We start from the raw sequence: 20,630 nt of genomic DNA on the forward strand, positions 1-20,630 counted from the left end.
GCTGTGAATCCATCTGGTCCTGGGCTTTTTTTGGTTGTTAGGCTATTTATTACTGATTCAATTTTGGAGCTCATTATTGGTCTGCTCAGAGATTCAATTTTTTTCCTGCTTCAGTCTTGGGAGGAAAAATGTGTCCAGGAATTCACCCATCTCTACTAGGTTTTTCAGTTTGTATGCATAGAGGTGTTTGTAGCAGTTTCTAATGGTAATTTTTATTTCTCTGAGGTCAGTGGTAACATCCCCTTTGTCATTTCTAAGTGTGTTTATTTGGATCTTCTCTCTTTTCTTCTTTATTAGTCTAGCCAGCAGCATATCTGCCTTATTAATTTTTTGAGAAAACGAACTCCTGGATTTGTAGATCTTTTGAATTTTTTTTTGCATCTCAATTTCCTTGAGTTCAGCAATGATTTGGTTATTTCTTGTCTTCTGCTAGCTTTGGGTTTGGTTTGCTCTTCATTGTCTAATTCTTTCTGTTGTGATGTTAGGTTGTTAATTTGAGGTCTTTCTAACTTCTGGTTGTGGGTGTTTAATGCTATAAATTTCCCTCTTAACACTGCCTTAGCTGCATCCCAGAGATTCTGGTATGTTGTATCTTTGTTCTCATTAGTTTCAAAGAACTTCTTGATTTCTGCCTTAATGTCATTATTTACCCAAAAGTCACTCAAGAGCATGTTGTTTAATTTCCATGTAATTGCATGGTTTTCAGCGATTTTTAAAACTTTGACTTCTATTTTTATTGTGCTTTGGTCCAAGAAGGTGTTTGGTATGATTTCAGTTCTCTTGCAGTTCCTGAAGATTGTTTTATATCTGATTGTTTGGTGGATTTTAGAGTATGTGCTACGTGATGATGAGAAGAATGTATATTATGCTGTTTTGGAGAGGAGAGTTCCGTAGAGGTCTATCTGATATATTTGGTCAAATCTTGAGTTCAGGACCTGAGTATCTTTGTTAATTTTCTGCCTTGATGAGCTGTCTGATCCTTTCAGTGGAGTGTTGATGTCTCCCACTATTATCGCATGGGAGTCTGCATCTCTTTGTAGGTCTCTAAGAACTTGCTTTATGAATCTTGGTACACCTGTGATGGGTGCATATATATTTAGGACAGTTAAGTCTTCCTGTTAAATTGAAATCTTTACTATTATGTAATGCCCTTCTTTGTCTTTTTAAAAATCTTTCTTAAAGTCTGTTTTGTCTGAAATTATAATTGCAACCCATGCTTTTTTCTTTTTTTCATTTTCTTGGTAGATTTTTCTCCATCCCTTTACTTTTAGCCTATGGGTGTCATTGTAAGTGAGATGGGTCTCTTGAAGACAGCATTTTTTAGGGGGAGTCTTGGTTCTTCATCCAGCTTGCCATTCTGTGCCTTTTAACTGAGGTGTTTAGTCCATTTACATTCAACTTTGGTATTGAAATGTGTGCATTTGATTCTGTTATTATTTTGTTGACTGGTTATTATGCCGGCTTGTTTGTGTGGCTGCTTTATAATGTAACTGATCTGTGCACTTAAGTATGTTTTTCTATTGACTGGTAATGATCTTTACTTTCCATGTTTAGTGCTCCTTTCAAGATCTCTTGCAAGGCAGGTCTGATGGTAACAAACTCCCTTAGCATTTGCTTATCTGAAAATAATCTTATTTCTCCTTTGCATAAGAAGCTTAGTTTGGCTGGATATGAAATCCTTGTTTGATGATTTTTTTTCTTTAATAATGTTGAATATAGGCCTCTACTCTCTCCTGGCTTGCAGGGTTTCTGCTGAGAGGTCCACTGTTAGCCTGATGGGCTTTCCTTTATAAGTGACCTGCCCTTTCTCTCTAGCTGCTGTCAACATTCTTTCTTTCATTTCAACCTTGGAAAATCTGCTGATTATGTGTCTTGAGGATGATCTTCTTGTGTAGAATCTTGCATGGTTCTCTGTATTTTCTAAATTTGACTGTTAGCCTCTCTAGCAAGGCTAGGGAAGTTTTCATGGACCATATCCTCAAATGTGTTTTCCAAAATTTTGCTTTCTCCCTGTCCCTTTCAGAGTTGCCAATATTTCATAGATTTAGCTTGTTTACATAATCCCATATTCCTCAGAGATTTTGTTCATTCCTTTTCATTCTTTTTTTTCTTTATTTTTGTCTGACTGTCTTATTTCAGAGAGCCAGTCTTCAGTTCCTGAGATTCTTTCCTTGGCTTGATGTATTCTCCTTTTAATACTTGTGATTGCATTGTGAAATTCTTCTAGTGTGTTTTTTCAGCTCTATCAGATCAGTTAGGTTCTTTTTTTTACTAGCTGTTCCATGTATTGGTTTTTGTATCATTTTATTGTGATTATTAGTTTTCTCAGATTGGGTTTTGCCATTCTCCTAAATCTCAATGATCTTTATTTCTATCCATATTCTGAATTCTATTTCTGTTATTTCAGCCAGTTCAGGCTGGTTAAGAACCCTTGTTGAAGAACAAGTGTGATCATTTGGAGGACATAAGCCACTCTGGCCTTTTGAGTTGCCAGAGTTCTTGCATTGGTTCTTTCTTATCTCTGTGTGTGGGTGTTCCTTTAACTGCAGTGTAGGTTGACTACAGTCAATAGACTTCTTTTTTGTATGTCTTCACAGGGCTGAGGTTTTGTGCAGGGTCTAAATAGCTGACTTCTTGTCTTTGGTTTCACAGGGGGCTATGTTAGTGAGGTATTGTTGTTGAAGCTTTGGGTTGTGATCCAATAGGTGGCGCTTAGACATAGTGGTCTGTTGGTAGGCTCTTGCTCTGTCCTGTTGCTCCTCTGTTATTTCCTCACAGTTGCAGCTATGCTCCCTCTCAATGCCCTGAAAGTGTGGGCTCCTCTCCCACTTGAGTGCTGGCTGTAGACTGTGGCTTGGCACTCCAGGGATGTCCATTACAGCTCTATGGCGATATCAGTGTTTGTTTTCTCCTCAACTTGGAGGCAGCAGAGAGGACCTTAGCAGTGGTTGTGGCCAAAGGTCTTTTACTTGTCTCCTGGGAGCTCCACCCAGGGAGATACAGGTCAGCAGTCACTCAGTGCTATCAGCCCGGGATGGGGGTTCTGTGCTGTAGGCCTAAGTCGGGGGTTCCCTGCCTGGTAATGAGCAGGTGAGGGGTTCCATGGCAGGGAAAAGAGTTCATATCATCCATATAAAGAGAGTTCTTATATATCAATGAGAACAAAATCACACTTATAGAAAAATGAGCAAATGACATGAACAATTTATAAAAAATAAAAGCAAATGGTTAATAAACTTAACAAAAAGTGTTCAGCCAAACTAGGAATCAAACATAGCAGAAGAATGCCATATTTTTACTGGAAAATTTGAAAAATAATGCTGATGAAGGTTCAGCAGGGCAGGTATTCTCTTATGGAGAGGGGGAAGATTGAATAATCATCCATAGGCTGGAATATGTAGCCATTAAATAATGATCTTGAATAATACAAATTTATATTAAAAGCTCATAATATCATATAAGTGAGAAAATGGGGATATAAAACTGTATATATGGTATAAACTCAATTTTGTATTTGAATGGAAGAAAACACAACAAAATATAAAGAGTAGTAATCTCTAGGTGGGGGAAGGAATCATGAGTGATTTTTGTTTTTGCTTCTTTATATTTTTTAATAGTTCTAAAATTTACTACAACAAACACATATTTTCATTATCAGAAATAATATGTACAGTAAACCCAATTTTAAAACCCTTAATTATGAAAAATAAAATAGATAATACAATTTTTTGACTGGATTTGACTGTAGTCAACACCCCTGTGATTTAAGTGAATCAATCTCACTTTGTTGGTCCTATAGGGCTGCATTTCTAAGTCAATTATAACCTTTATCCCACTGTCCAATGGTTTGTTATGTATGTGGCCCATGCTAGTCTGTGAGCTCCTTGAAAATAGTGATTGTGTCTAATTTACCTTTGTGCAATATGTGGCACATACTTGGTGTTCGGCAAATGTAAGCTGAGTAAGTGCATTACTCTAATTGACCTAACTCTAATCTAGACCAAACTGAGAAGTGGTAGGGAAACTTTTCTTTGATAATCTTCTTATTTTTCTGCATAATATCATATTTTCCTTGCTATGCTCAAGGACTAAAGACCAGTTTTTGTTCATTTGTCTCCTCACTGTCCAAGTTCACATCCTGACCCCGCATCTGGGTCAGATTGTTTTTTTAAACAGCATCTCCCGCCTTCCTACCCTTTAAATCCCATAACCCCTTTACTCCTCTTTCGTGTAACAACAAACTTAGCGTGCTTTATGTTTTTCTTTCTTCGAATTTACTTTTTGATATATGGCAATTACTTAATGAAACACATATTTCAATATGTGTTTATTATTATAGCTACCTTTTGGATACACAATGCCTAGATTCAAGAATAAACCTAAAAGTGGGACTATTAGGCCATAAAGGCTAAGGAAATAGATCCTTGTGTGTCTTTCAAATCATACACCTATAAGAAGAGTTAGTTATGACCCTATAAGTTATTCTCTCTGAATATGAACTCATAATACTATCACTCATAAAGCCAAGTCTTCAATCAATCTGAGATCTAGCTATTTCATCCATACTCACTTGGCTAAATTAAACTGCACTCAAACTAAAAGCAGTCAGATTGAACAGGCAATGAAACAGAAGAAGCTGATTCATAGCACTTGTTTCACATTACTTTTATGGGCTGAGGTGATACTCATATGTGAGAATCCTCTTTCATATTTTATGATCCTCACATGGTGTGAATGTGTAAAGTCTTATGGGGGTCTAAAGATTGCTTACATACATGAAGAAGACTTCCATATAAAAAAGAGGAACAAATCTAATGTAATTCACAACTTCTTTTACCTGTTCAGTATTTTGGGTTATATGTAGAGTACTTGGGGCACATGTAGATATTTTTAAAGTTGGAGAATGGAGTTCCTGTTAAGAGAAACAAAAGGGAGTTCAGAAATTATTTGAAAGTCTTAAGTTCTCATGGTATTTTTTCTTTATTTTTATAATAATGTGGTTAGTCAGAAATAAGAGCATTATTTAGTGCTTTCTTAGATAATATCCATCTTTCCAAAGAACTAAATTACTTTGTTGTCTTCTCACATAACCCAATGATAAAAGAGTTTCTAGAGTGCTTTCATAGCAATACATTCTACTTGTACTGTTAGGTTGCATTCTTTTTGTTTCTGCTTCAAGAACTCTGCATTCATATACACCCCAATGTTATTATATGTTTGCAATTAGCAAGATATAATATTTTACAAACAAAACTTTTCTTTCAGTATTTGTTCTATTTCTTTTTTAAAATTCTTATAAATTTAAGGAGTACAAGTGCAGTTTTGTTACATGGATATTTTGCATAGTGGTGAAGTCTGGGCTCTTAGAGTAACCATCAACCGAACAGTGTACATTGTACTCATTAAATAATTTCTCATAAAATGATGTAAAATTTAATAATTATCAAACCAAGAGATAGACATCCCATTCTTCATGATGTGCTTATTTCACGTTGCATGCCTGTATCAGAACATCTTATGCACCCCATAAATATACACATTTACTATGTGCCCAAAATTTTAAAAATAAAATAAAACTTAGAAAAAATAATTCTCAAACCAATATAAGAAACTACCTTTGAAAACTCAACTAAGAGTAATTTTAAGAGTAAATTTTAAAGTACCTTTGAAGAAGGTAGTTTGAAGAGTAAATTTAAGAGTAAATTTCAAACTACCTTTGAAAATGCAACTAAGAGTAATTAATTTTAAATCACTTCAAGCTAACTCTTAATTATGCTTTGTCTATTCTGCTTCTAGTCTAATTTCAGAGTAGGCTCTGTTGTTAAAATAATCTGTAAAAGTGAAAGAATATAATTTTTTAAAATGGTCCAATAAAATGATCAATCTGTCCATCATGCTGGCATTGTTTACATATTTCCTCAAAACCAACAAAACTGCAATCACTTCATTAGTGTGCAAAGAAATGATGGCGTTACTCAATCTCCCCATACCTTACCATAATTTACAATCAATTGGCACGACTCCATTATATCTTCCTACAAAGGTATAAATATTTTTTCTGTAGAACAAGGGAACTATTAAAAATCAGAATCATTAATTTACAAGGGAAACACTGACAGACTCATACAGAACTATAGCTATAATGTAGGTGTTACATGTATTCTTAAAACAGGACTATGCATTTACTCAAACTGCCAAATGTTCTGAATTCTTTCTTGTTGTTGCTGTTGTTGAACTTGTAACATTTTCATCCTCCACCACCCTTTATATCAACAGCAATACTGCAGGCTCAGTATTTCTAGGAATCTTTTGCATATATTCTCAGATTTTCTGCTAATAATTGAGAAGACTTGCTCAGACAAATGCAGAGAATTACAGATTATAGACAAAACAGGTACACATTATCCAGTTTAGGAAAATGGTTATAAATACAACCATGTGCAGGCAGGTTTGGCCCACAGACCCAAGAGGAGCAGATTCAAGAAGACAAGAAAAAAGAGGGGTGCTCTTTAGTTATGGAATAACACATGAACACATTCTTAATATAAACATTTATATAGATAAGGTTAAAGACCTTCTCTTGACCATCTTTCCTCCATTCACTTACCCAGAAGTGACTATTGTTGTCAGTTAAGATGTCTTTACATATATACCTATGTATAAATAGTAATATTATTGCTTTCATTGTTCTACAACTTAAACCAAACAGTATCTCTTGTATTATGTACTAGATACATGTTTTAACTCATTATTTTCAATTAATAGTATTCCAAAATGCTTGCTTTATAGCTTGTTTTTATGTTTTCCTGCTGATTAACATTTATATTGTTTCCAGGTTTCCACTGTGCTGCAATGAGCATCCTTGTGCAACATGTTTCTTTAGAATCCCACACAGAATTGGGATTGCTGGGGCATGGAGTATGTGTGTTATTCATTTGAACAGATACTGCCCAACTAATTTCCCAAATTTGACTATGATAATTATACATCCACCAGCAGTGTGTGAAGGTATTCATGTCTAGAGGATGTTTGGTCTGTTTAGGCTGGGGCTAATAATATTATACTAGTATCATTCTGAGAAGACAACTATACACATGGTTAGTATCTGGTAGCTGTTGTAGAAATGATAGCTCTGTCCTTCTTGTAACCAATTCAAATATGATGGCATTAGCAAATGAAACATAGCAAATCTTACTAGCCAACTGGACTAGCTTTTAAGATACAAAAGCGTACTAAGAAGTTTTATAAATCTGCAGAAATTTAAACAAATAGGAATACACACACATCACACATCACAGATAAAGACATTTATTTATGCTAGTATAAGCAGTATTACTTTATTCAGATGTTAAGATAATAGATGTTTAAATGGCAAACAGTTGTATTTGAGCAAAGACTAGTCTTGCCCTAAAATGAAGGAATTCTTTAATCTTCTTATATGTGGAAAGCTGGAACATTAAGTCCATAGATTATAATGTACTCAATTATTTTTAGCCCTACTTCAGCCTTCATTATTAAAATTGATCATCTAGACAAATGTGGCTTTCCCACGCAACCCTCATGGAAACATTAGAGAACAAATATAATAGGTTCAAAAATTACAACATTAAGATGTAGCTTAATATGAGTCAAAGATATTTAGACATATGGTGTTGAACAGCATGAATTTAAATTGCATCAGTATGGATTTAGGCTGATCATAAGGGGGAAAACCTCTCTGAAAATAGGTTTATTAATTCCAGAAATACTTGCTAAAGAAAACCCCTTTTCCCTGGAAGTCTACAAAATTAAGTAAGATGGTGTGAGTAAATGTCCAGAATGAACAAAACCTTGATGTTGAAAGGTACTTTCAATGGCATCAAGATCTAGGCAAGATTGCAGCAAGTCATCCCATAAATAGCCATTGACCATTCCATAGAAAGTGATCCAAAATATTTTTGAAAGAATGAATGAAAAGGAGATCTTAGTTTTAAAAGCACTCCAGGAATAACAATCCAAATCTCCCTCTTAATAACCTGTATCAGTCAGTGTTTAATTTTGTTACTCATCTGTGTATAGCTTACCTAAATCCTTCATGTTGAAACTATTAAATTCAATGAACAGTCAATGTTTTTGTTTTTATGCCTTTTGTGCCACAGCCCCACATTCCTGATGACCAAATAATTGAAGGCGATAATGGGGTGGTGGTGGTTATCATGACATAGTGGAAAAAGTGCTAGACTTGGAGTCAGCAGACCTGGATTTTATTCCCATTTATACTACTAGCCACTTTTGTAATACTGGTCAACTCATGTTCTCTCTCTGAGATTTGTTTCCTCATGTGAGAAATGAGAAATGGGATATGGGTGTGGGCGAGTGTGGATTAGAGGATCTTTAAGTTTGTTTCTGACGTTCTGTGAATATAAGAGACCATTCCCAACTTATTTTTCCATACAAACAAAACAATTTCAAATTTTTTAAACTTGTCAGTATTGTTTTCCTTTTGATGATGATTATAATGATGACTAACACCTATTAATAGCTTTCTGTGCCAAACATGTTACATAGATCATTCTCTTTAACACTCAAAATAACCCCATAAAGAAGATACTATTATAACCCCATTACATAAACAAGTGAAGTTAGACAGAGGTAGGATAGGTAACCAGATGGAGATTACACAGCTAATGCTAAGGTGCTGGAATTCCAACTCAGCATGACTCCAGAACTCATGCTCTTAATCACCATATTTTGCCACGTTTATTGCTTGCTTCATTATATTTTCTGTTTTTCAAGTTGTGTAACCTAATTATATGGTTAAGTTTGACTAGTCCTTATAACAGAAGGTCAAATACTGGGACTTTTAAAATTATTCAGTGTCAAAAGCAACTTTGGAGGCCTGAAAATAAGACACCCACCCACAAGTAGCTGTGTGAGAGAACAGCCTTGATTAGATAATTTAAGTTTCCATAAACTCAATAGAATTTGTAAAACGCGTGGTACATTTACAGAGTGTACTCACAAGCCTCTAAAACTCAATAAACCATTGAATTTTTGTTTAATGCTCATATCATCTAATCTCTTCAATTTTGCAGGAAGACCTTACTTTTTCTGATAAAATATTCAGCATTTTGTTGAGTCGTTTATTCCTGTGGGTCAGACTTGCTATATACACAAACATTATACTTTATTGGCAACTTTAAGTAGAGTCTGGTGAAAAAGAATTTGGGGCCGGGCGTGGTGGCTCACGCCTGTAATCCCAGCACTTTGGGAGGCTGAGGTGGGCGGATCACGAGGTCAGGAAATCGAGACCATCCTGGCTAACATGGTGAAAACCCGTCTCTACTAAAAATACAAAAAAATAGCCGGGTGTGGTGGCGGGCGCCTATATTCCCAGCTACTCAGGAGGCTGAGGCAGGAGAATGGCGTGAACCTGGGAGGCAGAGCTTGCCGTGAGCCGAGATCGTGCCACTGTGCTCCAGGCTGGGCGACAGAGCGAGACTCTGTCTCAAAAAAAAAAAAAAAAGAAATGAAAAAGAATTTGGTTTATAATTATGTGGGCTTGGGGATAATTTCATTACATCACTTGAGATAATTGTCCATACCTTTGTACACACTAAATCTGAGCTAGGAAACTCTGGTTTCCCTAGAGAATTCATTATTCATAAAAGTATATCTTATTTCCACCTATTTGTTAAAAAAGCTGTTTTCAGGGGAACATCACACACAGGGGCCTGTCAGAAGATGGGGACCTAGGGGACGGATAACATTAGGAGAAATACCTAATGTAGGTGACGGGTTGATGGGTGCAGCAAACCACCATTGCCCGTTTATACCTATGTAACAAAACTGCCCTTTCTGCACATGTACCCCAGAACTTAAAGTATATATATATATAAATATATTTTATTCATATTTATATATATTATATTATATATACTATATATATATATACTTTAAGTTCTGGGGTACATGTGCAGAAAGGGCAGTTTTATATATAAGCTGTTTTCAGAGTTAAATCAGATGATGTGCAAATGGCCTAAATGTCTCAGTTATTTACTTTAGTGAAAATGCTTTTGAGTAGCTCAGTGCAGTAAAGAAAGAAGGGAAGGCAGAAGCTCAAAAGGTGTTATTCTCCTTTGAAAGAAAGAAAACCTTAAAAACTTAATATATACCCTGAATTCTAGGATTATTTCTGAGCAAGACCTTGAAAACTAGAGGGAAAACTATTTTTGTCCTCTAATGTATTTTTGATATTTTCCATTCTGATAATGGAACATTAGAATGGGAAAATATACAGTAAGGGTAATCATCAAATGTTTTGTTGAAATAAAAAATGTGAACTAATTTAAACTGAAATCATGAATATCGAAAGTTAATTAAGGGAGATAGCTGATGTAATGAAAATATCAGGAGCTGGTTTTTAAACTCAGGGCATTCACTAACCAGCTGTACTAAATAGGCAAGTTATTTTGAGCTATTCGAGTCTCAATTTCCTTATTTGTTTAACAGATAAATAATACACAATGAATATTGTCTTTATTTGTACATCGTACAATTTGTACAATAAACATAATAATGCATGTTTTATCTAATTGTTGAGGTTCTATCAAGTTGTTTACTAGATAATCATATACATGGAAGAGTTGTGAAAAACAAAAAACCCATGTATTAATATGAAATATTATTTTCACTGGATTGATTATATATGTGACTAAGTTACTAACTTGCAGTTTCTTTACTACTTATTGTGTAGTGGCATTGAAAGAGATACAAATGATGTTAGAATATAATCTCTACCCTCTCATGGTTATAATCATGTAGGGCATAAACACTATGAGTACAAATAGGAATTAAGTAGACTATCATAAGACCTATAAGAAGCTCACTAGGTAAGTTTTGAGGGCTAAGAGATAACTTCAACCTGGGACAATCAGAGGATCAGAAGGTTACACTTGAGGAAAGGCTTGAAAAATTTGTATAATTTCAGGGTGTCTAGATTGGTGAGGGTGAGGAGCAGGAGCAGTTCAGATGTAAGAGCAATGGAGTGAAAGACATAGCTGTGGAAAATTGGGGACTTTATTTAGAGAACAATCATTTACACTTAGCTAAAACATAGGACACCAGAAGGAGAGTTCCAGGAAGTTCCACAGGAGCCCTAACATGGAGGGCCTTGAAAGTCAGACTAAGCAATTTATAGATACTTAGTGTCATTGAAGGTTTTTGCAGCAGAGGAGTGATATGGGATGTGTATAGGGAATTTAAGCAACTTTTCTAGAGAACATATTCTTAGGTGTAATTAAAGTTGTGGAGATTTTAAAATTAATATTCCTAGGGACTCCAACTAGACTGCTTCATAGTTCTATTCTGCCAAAGTTCACCTCATGATTGCATATTTATTTACAGCTCTTCCTGAGACATTCCACATAGACCTTTTTGGGCATTTTCTTCATACAATTTTCTCTGCAATTGGTCTTTAGACTGCAAAATCTGAACCTCTTCAGTCAAGACCTGTTGGCTTCATTTTCCTGTTGATAGCTGTGGTCAAAGAGCTCAAAAGCCTGGTGTAAGACATACAAGAAAGACTGAAGGTAATGAGAATTAAATCATAGAGAATATTACATACGTAGTGCAGGCTTTGTTTCTAAATATTTGGAAACTTGCTAACATGAAAGTATAACTCTTTATGTTGTCTAATTTGAATTTTAAAACTTTACATAAAGACTAATATACAGTATAATATTCCATGAAGGAAAACCATGGAAGGTTTGTGTATGCTCCTGTTACTCCCAATGACTATGAGAATCACTGAAGGTAATAATGGTGAGTTACAAATACTCTAGGCTGAACAGTTTCAAAAGAAGCAATATCTTTAAAAACCACCTGACATTTATGCTGACAGAATTTGCCAAGGCAAACCTCCATTTGAATAAATTCCCTGAATAGTATGGGAGATGTTTTTGTTAGGATCTTTCAAAGCCATGTAACATAGTTAAACACCTGTCTGAGGTTATTGTTGAGATGTTATACTCAACTTATATAGCAAGAAACATGTTATTTATAATAATCTCTCTTTAGATGAAATAAACACTTCTTTGATTTAGGATAAAATCTGTGTTTCTGTTGTCATACAAAGAAAGCAACCGAATGTATAATAGAACTACTTCCTGTTCCTCCTTCTCTCCAACCCAAATCCCTCATTTAAGAGGTCCATATTGGGTTCTTTCTCTTCTTTTTCTGAAGAAAACTAGGAGACAGAGAGAAAATAAAATACACAGTCTTTTTTGCAGTGCATGCTTTCTGTCTTTAAAAATTATGAGTATATATACTTTATTGAAAATCAAAAAATGACCTCTACTGGGATAGCCCCTGGTCTGAAGAAAAAGTTGGCTGAAATATATTTATTAATAAAAGTTTTAACTTTTAAATAGGGCTTAAGAGCATGGCAAATTTCCCAATTGTTTTGTCATGAATTGTCAAGAAAATAAACTTGAAAGGACAGTTTCCCTCTCTTCCACTTGCCACCCTCATATCTTGCCACACACACACCGTGACAGCTTATGAGTGCCTTTGACTGAAAACAGGCCCAGCAATTTATCAGACCTCCGTTAAACAAGATACAATTGCCATGGGCATTTTCACTCAGCAATTAGTTGCACTCTCCAATTTCTATAGCTTCATTTAATTGTAAGCACAAAAGAGGAGACCAAAGCTGAAAATGCAACCCCTTTATCCTATGACCTCATTCTTTTTTCAGGCAGCGCACTTCCTTGAACAATCATTCACTTTAGTGACTACGCCCTTGAACAACAATTTATCAAAGCAGCACACCCCTCCCCACAGAACGGGAAACTTTTCTGATAGTGGAAGAGAAGAGTTATCCACAATCTTTGCAACCAAAGAAAAAGCACAAAAAAATCATATAAACAAAGGTAAGCCCCAGCTGAATAATTGTTGAGAACAGAGGTCATTCGTAAACACACATTTTCCCCCAGGCTGCTCTCTAGAGTTTCTTTGCAAGTTTCAAATTCAAAAGAATGGCAACCCTTATAACATATACACTAAAATAATCCTTCTCTCACAAAAGCATGTTTTACTTGATAAAATGCTGATGGTCACAACACAAAATACTCCTTTAAAATGAAATATAGATAGACACATGGGACACCTACAGACCAGGCTCTGTATGTCTGTCCTAAAAATGAACTCTCCCTGGACAGGTTAATGGTATTTATCCAGAAAATCACAGTGTTTGCTAAAAAATAGGCACTTAATAAACATGTATTCAGTGAATGACTGGTATTTAAAAATATTTTATTTTAATCCATTTTTTCTCTCTCACATTTTTTCTCTCTCATGTATACAGCTGCTCTGTATGCATGAAAAATACCTCGAACTTCATGAAAACCTTAATTAGTGGAAGGAAAGAATGTTAGCCCAATGAGTAATTCATATCAATGTTGCTCATTTAAGGCATTTCATTTTGAGTTAATGATGGTAGGTTAACAGCTAAGCTTTGTAAAAGATTGAACTAAGAATTTTTGTTTTACTTTAAGCTTCTAGAACTCTATTTATTTGCAAGACCACATTCAGTTCTAAAATGCATCTGAGACCTTGATTATATCTGTGTTTGACTATACGTGTTCATGCAGATAAACCCAGTAATTTTAATTCTACCATTAATTTAGAAAATTTCACCAGCAACTGGTTTCTACACTTAATTTTCTCTGAGAAACACTCTATCAATCAAACAAAATAATAACCAAAAAACATAAAATATATGTTTAATTAAAGAAACAAAGTAACATTATATATCTAGATAAATTTAAAATATGTTTATATCCATAAACACCATTTTAGTGCACAAGAGGTTAAGAGAATAAAAGCATGTACTCAAAAGCTAGAAATGGAAAATAAAGTGCTACAGAAAACATTTGATTAAATCGAAAATGCCTACTACATGACCTAAAATTATGATTCAGGAAGCAAAGCAGAGTAGCATCAATTTTGGTTTCTCAAAGGCAACATATTTTACTACTGGTAATATTTATTTTAAAATCTCATTAATTCCCTGAATGTCTTCCAAAAACCAAAAGGCAAAAAACAAAACAAAACAAAACAAAAACAAAGACAAAGTAAAAGTTTAACTGAATTCATGATGATCAACCATTGATTGTAAAATCAATTTTTCTTGCTGCCATGGTCACAAACTCTGGTATTAGGCTAATTGCTACACATCAACTCATCTGAAACGTGGTTTATTAAGGATAGACTTTATTGAAACATAAAGTGAATTAAGGGTTTTTGAGTAATATGTACTGCTTGCTCATGCCTGTCATGGTACATTATACATACCATCACATTATACTCATTTCGTTAGCATAAAGGTAATTTCAGATCAAATCTAGGTCCTACTTTACATGATGCCACAATGCCATTCCATCAATAAACAGGGAGAAAGGAAAATAAAATAGAAGAGTTTCCTCATCATATTCTTTGTGACAGCTATCTAAAAGCTGTCTTGCCAAGTTCTCTTTTAGTGGATTTGTGAATGCCCTTTGATATCCAACTCAGTTTGAAAATTTATAGTCAAATATTCTTTCTTCTTGTTTCACTAAGGAATTAATACTTCTTTTTTTCCCTTTACCACATAGCTTAACTTTCACTTTTCTCATTTTCTAACAGCACTTACTTTTCTTCCTTTTCAATAATAAATAACTTCAGACTTCACAGAGCCCTCCATTCTAATCTTTTATCCCAGTTTCTGCAGCTGCACTTTCTAGCCCTAAGTTGTTTATAAACTCCTGTGTGGCGAGCTACATTTTAGGAAGGAGATAGTCCATTTTTAAGGATCACTTTGGCAAATGCCAGGTAAAATAAGGAAAATCTTGTAAAAAGCTCAACCAACTTGATCCTGAGTTATTGAAAGGGGAAGCTGAACCAAGGAGTAAATAATAAAACATACTCCTAAAAATTGTCCGGTAGCCAATATTTATAATTTGTCAAATTTCAGCTTTTAAATATCTATTTATGTTTCTTTTACTAGCAAGTTGACAAAAAAGGGGTCTAAATATGTTTAAATAGCTATGGCAGATAGGATGATTTTAGGATTCCTAAGATAATAGTAATTGTTTTTAATCTGCACATCATTGTTTTTGAGCTACAATAAAACAAAGGTGGCATTCATTTTGTTCTGCATTAGCATCTCAATATGAATATTGGAGTGCACATTTGCATTATTTTTATCACTAATGCAAACTGGTATTTATGACCTTTATATTTTTCTTCTCCTTGACCTCAGTATAAGTGGAGTTTTTCTCAACCAGTTGAGAAATGTTACTTTATATTCTACTCAAATTTGTGGGTTTTGGAAAAATAATATGTATTACTCCTGATTGGTAATAATAATGTAACATAGCATCATATCCCAATGACTGCTTTTTGAGATTTTTGTATCTTAAAAACATAATTTCAGTTTGGACAGAATTTTCCAGAAAGCTTAAAACATGCAAATTTAATGTAAAAGGAGTCAGAGGATAAAATACACATAAAGCTGTTAATTTTATACAGTCTTGCAGGGTTACCTTGTATTTATTGGGAAGGTTATTAACACAGGTATTGGTGCTAAGAATAACTCTTAAGAAACAAACGTATTTCATTTTATGGGATGTCTTAGAGTTCCATCTTTTGTAGCTTTCATGTAACAATTGCTTACATCTTGCCTTCCTCAATCCTATATCAACTCTTCCAGTACTCTTTCTACAAGTATTCCATAAATTATTCACCTAGGCTGTACGATAAAAAGTGTGTCATTCTTGGAAGATGAAACACATATGACAATTCAGACATCTGCACCTCTCACTTATCCTGGAGCAGCTATACTATTTGCTGAGCACAAATAATTGCTTATCACTCAGACATGCCACAGTACCTGTATCACCATATTTGATACCAAAAAAAACCTGTTTGCTTCTGATATGAAATTAATCAGTAGGAACTTGTTCTAATAAAAATCTACTGTACTCAAGTTGAGAACTGCTTTGCAGTAGGGGCAAAGGGATTCCTTGGATCAGATCTTTCAGTCAGATCAAACAGAAAATGAGCCTTCCTATACTATGGTTAGATTATGAAAATCAGTGAAACCCGGAAACAAACAACCACAGACACTAGTAAGTGAAATAACAGCCAAGAGATGAATTTGGGTGACTATCCAAGGCATATATAACTGCAATCCACCAAAAGATATCCTGTGGAATAGAGGCAAAGAAGCAGAAAGGAAGAGAAATCAGGTTGAAGATTGCCTTTCTCCACTAGTCTGGCATAGCTTTCTTTGTTGTACCTGAGAATGGTCGCTCCAAACCAAATTTTGGTAGGAGGAGGTGGTTTTGAGAGGGGAGAGCACTTCCCGTGAGTTGAAGGGGTCCAAGGCCTGCACCACCTTGTTCATGGGCCCACTGTAGGTCCTCACTCGCTCATACACTACATTTTTTTCTGGAGGCTGCTGGGCTTGGCTTGACTGATGGTAGCAGTGGTAATGCTGGGGCTGGCACTGCAGCACCTCTGGGAGCTGCTGGGTTCCACAGCTGCTGCTGCTCGTCTCACTCCAATAGCTCGAGCTCATCTTCTTCCAGTGGTCAGCAAGGGACCTCCCAGATGTTCTACCTAAGGAACAAACAGAGAAATATAATGGAAAAAAAAGACAGGCAAGCAGGCAGTCAGGCAGGCAGACAGACACACGACACACGTGTGGAAACCGCTTATCAAAACCTCTGCCAATAGTGGTGCCGGGAAGAGAAGAAAGCTACCTGAGCAGCAGCAAGAGCAGGTCTGGCAGCTACAGAGGAAGCAGCAAAATATTTGAGCTCAAATGGAAAATGGAGCCACCCTGTGACATTGCTCCAGGAAATGGTACTGACACGCCCTTAGGGGCGGATTCACTTAGCAGGTTTACATGCCAGGAGAGGCCCTGCCTTGCCACGGAGATAGCTACAAGGCTGCCCAGCAGGTAAAGGAGTCTGTGAAGAGCAGAAATGTAGAATGTCAGGGATGAAGCCAGAGTTTCCAAGCACATGGGCTTAAAAATTCACAAAGACATGAAAATGCAAAAAACTTGCTAGAGAAAAAAAGTCACACATGTTATATGAAAGTGTCTTTTTATGGTTCTTAAGTTTAGCAAAGGTAGTTACCAGCATAAGTATTATTATTCCAGATTCCCAGACTAAAATAATGAGTATTAGTCTAGGAATACACCAATTTTCACAGATAAATTTGCATTCTTTGCAAAACCCATCTGATAATTGCAGTTAAGGAAGATTACTAAGGGGTCTCTTTCTAGTGACTCTGTCTAATATATGGACTTGTTTATCTTACTCAAAGCCTCGTATTCTTTTCTATCATTTGTTGAAGGAAATTTGTCTAAATGATTGAATTGCTGTATAGAAAGGTGGATGGTCAAGAAAAACCTAAAGATTCCACAAATGCTTTGCATTTTGGCATTCACATTTGTTGTTTTTCATTTATGCAAGGGAATTTCTCCTGCCCTTATATGTGCCCTAGGAAACACTGAGTTTGATTGACTTTTTAATATCTAGTTATTAAGGGAGCTGCAAGTCCTGAAAGATGCCTTAACTGACATAATGAGATTTAAATGTGTTTACAACTTACATTTATTACTACTTGAAATTTTGATCATAATGCCTACTTACCCTCAGATTTTGCTATGCAATATACTTCAGCACCACTTAAATCCAGAATACTCTCATTCAAAGTGACTTTAGTAAAAAGTATCTTCCTAATGTGTATATGTGCAATAGGACCTAGTATACTACCACCATTCTAGAGAGGAAGAGAATGTTATCCAGGGGGCTAGCAGCATTTTTTTTCTGCCCAGTGAACAAAGTGTTATGATTTACTATTCACTCTGTGTCAGGTACTGTTCAAGGGGTTTTATGTGGATTATAATTATTTCATCATTGAAGTGACTTTATGAGGTTTATAGGTGAGAAACTGAGGCACAGACATGGAGAGTTTGAAAAACTTTCCAAAGTTAAATAACCTGTAAATGGTGGGCCTGGCATTTTAACATATGGAGATTCATATTAGAGTCTAAGCTCTTATCTGGTATATTATACAGCTAGATAAATTCTCAAATTGTTCCATTTTACAGCTACATAAATTCTCATATTGTTCTGTATCCTGCCATCTAATAAATCTTCTAGATGTCAACATCAAAAAACACTTCAGAAATGCTAGCCATGAGAGACTTTAAAGGAATCTTTAGATTTTCTTTTATGGCTGAGGAGTGTGCAAAAAGCTGAAAATTACCCTTAAAAACTTTTAAGTTAGTTATTACATATTTACATTTATATTTGTGTGTTGAGTGCAGACCTGTCAAATCTGATCCTTGCTCATTTTAATGATATTCCTCAAGAATCAATTAAAATTTTATTAGAAATATGTGACATGTTAAACAGCCTGGTAAAATATCAGATCAATAACTTACTAATATCATTAGCAGTATCACTTTGAATAAACTTTATGTGTGAACAGAGAATAGGGGTTAAGTGGGATCATCCAGTCAGCTTTGATTCATGATAAAAATATAAATTAAACACACACACACACACACACAAACACACATTCATGTGAGCACACAGAATACTGTAAATATCTGCTGCAGCCAAGAAGTGACCTATTAAATAAAGCAAGAGATTGAGATGAAGAAAAAAATTTCCTTTATCCATAAACTGGTGACCATACCTGCCCTTCACATATCTTGGATATATAGTGTTTTGAGCCAACTTCCTTGATACAGTTTGGCTACAATTTGTGTGTAAAGCTGATACCTTCACCCAATATCTGAGCCTCATTCATCACTGTTCTCCATCTCTGGGTATGAGGGACAGAGAGCTTGAAGCTTAGGCATAGTATATTAGAAATGAGATTAAGCACTATCTGGCACGCAAATCACATCTAACTATGAAGCAGGTGTTGACCACAATTGTTCATTTCGGAAAGGCTTATTAATCATTGTCACCAAAATTTCTACTTCTCTGACAACTCACTTGTGCATCACATGATCGGTTTCTCTAATTGGTTTTTCTCCTTTATGAGGATGATGTTCATACTAACACATTTTTGATTAAGAAATAAATATAAATATGTCTTTATGGTAGTAATAACACTTGCCCTATTTTACACTTGAAAATCCAAGGGATTGACATTCTGTATTCTGCATCCTTCATGATTATACCACCCTTCTAACATTAGTGAATGGAGTAGTAAGAGTTGATTCCTTATTCTTAACTCCAGATTTTTTCAGGTAATCTTTAATTAAATTTCCAACAGTTCTTTTGTTTCACACAGTAATGGAGATATTTTATGCTTACCACTGAAAAAGCCTCATTTACAATGACAGATTTGGGGGACACAATTGGTAACCCTTTACAAGTTAATTCAGTTCTAACAGACTTAAGAAGATCTTTATTGCTTTTGATTACAAAAATAATTCATTTTTAAAATTTCAAATGAGTAAATACATGAACAAAGTAGAAAATTAAACTCATCATACTGATAATAGGAGTAAGGGATAGAGCAAGGAACAGAAATGTCTGCTGCACACTTTAATGGTAATTTTTAAAAAAACAATGATTTACATTTTGACTGAGTTGTCTTGAAGGTCATCCGAAAAAGTCCTGATTTGACCTACTGAGGTTGTTGGAAAAACACAGTTGCTTCTATACTCTCACAATACAGAACACTTCTGTGACCCCAGATGTGTGAGGGTTATTTCCCTACCCAACTAGTAAGTGATCAGTTCTACAGTGGACACCAGCTGTGTGTCCTCTAATTCAATCCTGACACTATCTACTTGGAGATAGCATTAAAACTCACAGGTTGAGGACTTTCAGTCCCACAAGACTGTCCCCATTCAGACACCAGTCGCAAGCCCCAGATCATTGTACCTGTGCTCCTGACCAACCAGCTATCAATCAGAGTTCATATGACCCCCCTCCTTGGATTTAATTAATTTGCCAGAGCGCTCACAGAACTCAGGGAAATACATACTTACATTTACTGGTTTATCATAAAGGATATTATAAACGATTCAAATGAACACCAAATGGAACAGATGCATAGGGCAAGGCACAGAGCCTCCATGTCCTCTCGTTATGCTCCATTCTCTAAGAACCTCCACATGTTCAGCCATCAGGAAGCTCTCTTTGAATCTAGTTATTTTGGAGTTTACATAAGCTTCATTATGTAGGCATGATTGATTAAATCATTAGTCATAGGCTATCAATTTCAACTTCTCTCCCCTAAAGAAAGGTGGGGCTTAAAGTCCCAACCCTCTAATCCTGCCTTGGTCTTTCCAGTGACCAGCTCCCCTCCTGAAGCTACCTAGGGGATGCCAACCCTCAGTCAATTCATTTGCATATGAAAATATATTTATCACTTTAGAAATTTCAAATATTTTAAGCGTTGTATGCCAGAAAACAGGGAAGAAGACCAAATATCTATTTCACAATATCACACCTACTTCATAAAATTGTTATTAGAATCAAATGTGAAAGTGTTTGCTGATTTTAATATAGTACCCAGGCATATGATTTTAAAATATGTTATTCACAGATAATGTGTTATAATTTTTG

General features: G+C 35.3%; 1 protein-coding gene across 3 annotated transcripts in view; it reads right to left on the reverse strand.

The window, feature by feature from the left end:
* Positions 1–16,811, reverse strand: part of POF1B (POF1B actin binding protein) — a 102,270-nt gene extending 85,459 nt beyond the window's left edge. For all 3 annotated transcript variants that reach the window (XM_005262203.5, NM_024921.4, NM_001307940.2), the window contains exons 1-3: positions 16,785–16,811; positions 16,319–16,641; positions 4,838–4,912 (exon numbers count right to left, since the gene is read on the reverse strand). In XM_005262203.5, coding sequence (XP_005262260.1) covers positions 4,838–4,912; positions 16,319–16,600 — 357 coding nt within the window. In that variant the 5' untranslated portion in view covers positions 16,601–16,641; positions 16,785–16,811. The remainder of the gene's footprint in view (positions 1–4,837; positions 4,913–16,318; positions 16,642–16,784) is intronic.

This window comes from Homo sapiens, chromosome X, assembly GCF_000001405.40.
Source record: "Homo sapiens chromosome X, GRCh38.p14 Primary Assembly".
NCBI classification, from domain to species: domain Eukaryota; kingdom Metazoa; phylum Chordata; class Mammalia; order Primates; family Hominidae; genus Homo; species Homo sapiens.